The 2,603-nt window shown below is 46.2% G+C and overlaps 1 annotated feature.

Moving 5' to 3' along the window:
- Positions 727-1,353: an enhancer, noted in NCBI's record as "NANOG-H3K27ac-H3K4me1 hESC enhancer chr3:157737752-157738378 (GRCh37/hg19 assembly coordinates)". NCBI's record gives its function as "activates a minimal SCP1, AML or CMV promoter by ChIP-STARR-seq in primed H9 embryonic stem cells {active_cell/tissue: H9 hESC(primed)}" and the evidence as "EXISTENCE:reporter gene assay evidence [ECO:0000049][PMID:30033119]".

Here is a 2,603-nt window from a genome sequence, read left to right on the forward strand (position 1 = left end):
TTCAGCCTGTCACTTCGGCCCTGAAAATCACAGTAAGAAGCTGAAGTCCACATCAAGTGACTTGCAGGAAGTTCATGCCATCCCCTGGATTTCTGCAGATTCCCAGAATTATATTATCATGAACACCTCTCCCTCCCAGCTCCAGTCTCTGCTCAGTTAGTTCAGTCTAAGGATCATTTTTCCTTCCTAAGCCTAAGTTATCCTCCACACTACATCAACCTCCATAATTTACAAACACACAAATTAAAACACTCACCCCTGGTGGCATGACATTGGTGTCTGAGTGTCTGGGAATACTGAATATGTATATGTTGTAAATTGAGACAGACTATATATATATATATGTGTGTATATATATATATACACATATATATATATAACAGCATTACACAAAAACTCACATGTAATATATGACATCTCCATTCATTAAAGTTTTTGGGGGGGGAGGAGCCAAGATGGCCGAATAGGAACAGCTCCGGTCTACAGCTCCCAGCCTGAGCGACGCAGAAGACGGGTGATTTCTGCATTTCCATCTGAGGTACCGGGTTCATCTCACTTGGGAGTGCCAGACAGTGGGCGCAGGCCAGTGTGTGTGCGCACCGTGCGCGAGCCGAAGCAGGGCGAGGCATTGCCTCACCTGGGAAGCGCAAGGGGTCAGGGAGTTCCCTTTCCGAGTCAAAGAAAGGGGTGACGGACGCACCTGGAAAATCGGGTCACTCCCACCCGAATATTGCGCTTTTCAGACCGGCTTAAGAAACGGCGCACCACGAGACTATATCCCACACCTGGCTCAGAGGGTCGTACGCCCACGGAATCTCGCTGATCACTAGCACAGCAGTCTGAGATCAAACTGCAAGGCGGCAACCAGGATGGGGGAGGGGCGCCCGCCATTGCCCAGGCTTGCTCAGGTAAACAAAGCAGCCAGGAAGCTCGAACTGGGTGGAGCCCACCACAGCTCAAGGAGGCCTGCCTGCCTCTGTAGGCTCCACCTCTGGGGGCAGGGCACAGACAAACAAAAAGACAGCAGTAACCTCTGCAGACTTAAGTGTCCCTGTCTGACAGCTTTGAAGAGAGCAGTGGTTCTCCCAGCACGCAGCTGGAGATGTGAGAACCGGCAGACTGCCTCCTCAAGTGGGTCCCTGACCCCTGACCCCCGAGCAGCCTAACTGGGAGGCACCCCCCAGCAGGGGCACACTGACACCTCACACGGCAGGGTATTCCAACAGACCTGCAGCTGAGGGTTCTGTCTGTTAGAAGGAAAACTAACAACCAGAAAGGACATCTACACCGAAAACCCATCTGTACATCACCATCATCAAAGACCAAAAGTAGATAAAAGCACAAAGATGGGGAAAAAACAGAACAGAAAAACTGGAAACTCTAAAACGCAGAGCGCCTCTCCTCCTCCAAAGGAACGCAGTTCCTCACCAGCAACAGAACAAAGCTGGATGGAGAATGATTTTGACGAGCTGAGAGAAGAAGGCTTCAGACGATCAAATTACTCTGAGCTACGGGAGGACATTCAAACCAAAGGCAAAGAAGTTGAAAACTTTGAAAAAAATTTAGAAGAATGTATAACTAGAATAACCAATACAGAGAAGTGCTTAAAGGAGCTGATGGAGCTGAAAACCAAGGCTCGAGAACTACGTGAAGAATGCAGAAGCCTCAGGAGCCAATGCGATCAACTGGAAGAAAGGGTATCAGCAATGGAAGATGAAATGAATGAAATGAAGCGAGAAGGGAAGATTAGAGAAAAAAGAATAAAAAGAAATGAGCAAAGCCTACAAGAAATATGGGACTATGTGAAAAGACCAAATCTACGTCTGATTGGTGTACCTGAAAGTGATGTGGAGAATGGAACCAAGTTGGAAAACACTCTGCAGGATATTATCCAGGAGAACTTCCCCAATCTAGCAAGGCAGGCCAACGTTCAGATTCAGGAAATACAGAGAACACCACAAAGATACTCCTCGAGAAGAGCAACTCCAAGACACATAATTGTCAGATTCACCAAAGTTGAAATGAAGGAAAAAATGTTAAGGGCAGCCAGAGAGAAAGGTCGGGTTACCCTCAAAGGAAAGCCCATCAGACTAACAGCGGATCTCTCGGCAGAAACCCTACAAGCCAGAAGAGAGTGGGGGCCAATATTCAACATTCTTAAAGAAAAGAATTTTCAACCCAGAATTTCATATCCAGCCAAATTAAGCTTCATAAGTGAAGGAGAAATAAAATACTTTATAGACAAGCAAATGCTGAGAGATTTTGTCACCACCAGGCCTGCCCTAAAAGAGCTCCTGAAGGAAGCGCTAAACATGGAAAGGAACAACCGGTACCAGCCGCTGCAAAATCATGCCAAAATGTAAAGACCATCGAGACTAGGAAGAAACTGCATCAACTAATGAGCAAAATCACCAGCTAACATCATAATGACAGGATCAAATTCACACATAACAATATTAACTTTAAATATAAATGGACTAAATTCTGCAATTAAAAGACACAGACTGGCAAGTTGGATAAACAGTCAAGACCCATCAGTGTGCTGTATTCAGGAAACCCATCTCACGTGCAGAGACACACATAGGCTCAAAATAAAAGGATGG

The sequence above is a fragment of the Homo sapiens genome, chromosome 3, assembly GCF_000001405.40.
Source record: "Homo sapiens chromosome 3, GRCh38.p14 Primary Assembly".
Classification (NCBI taxonomy): Eukaryota; Metazoa; Chordata; class Mammalia; order Primates; family Hominidae; genus Homo; species Homo sapiens.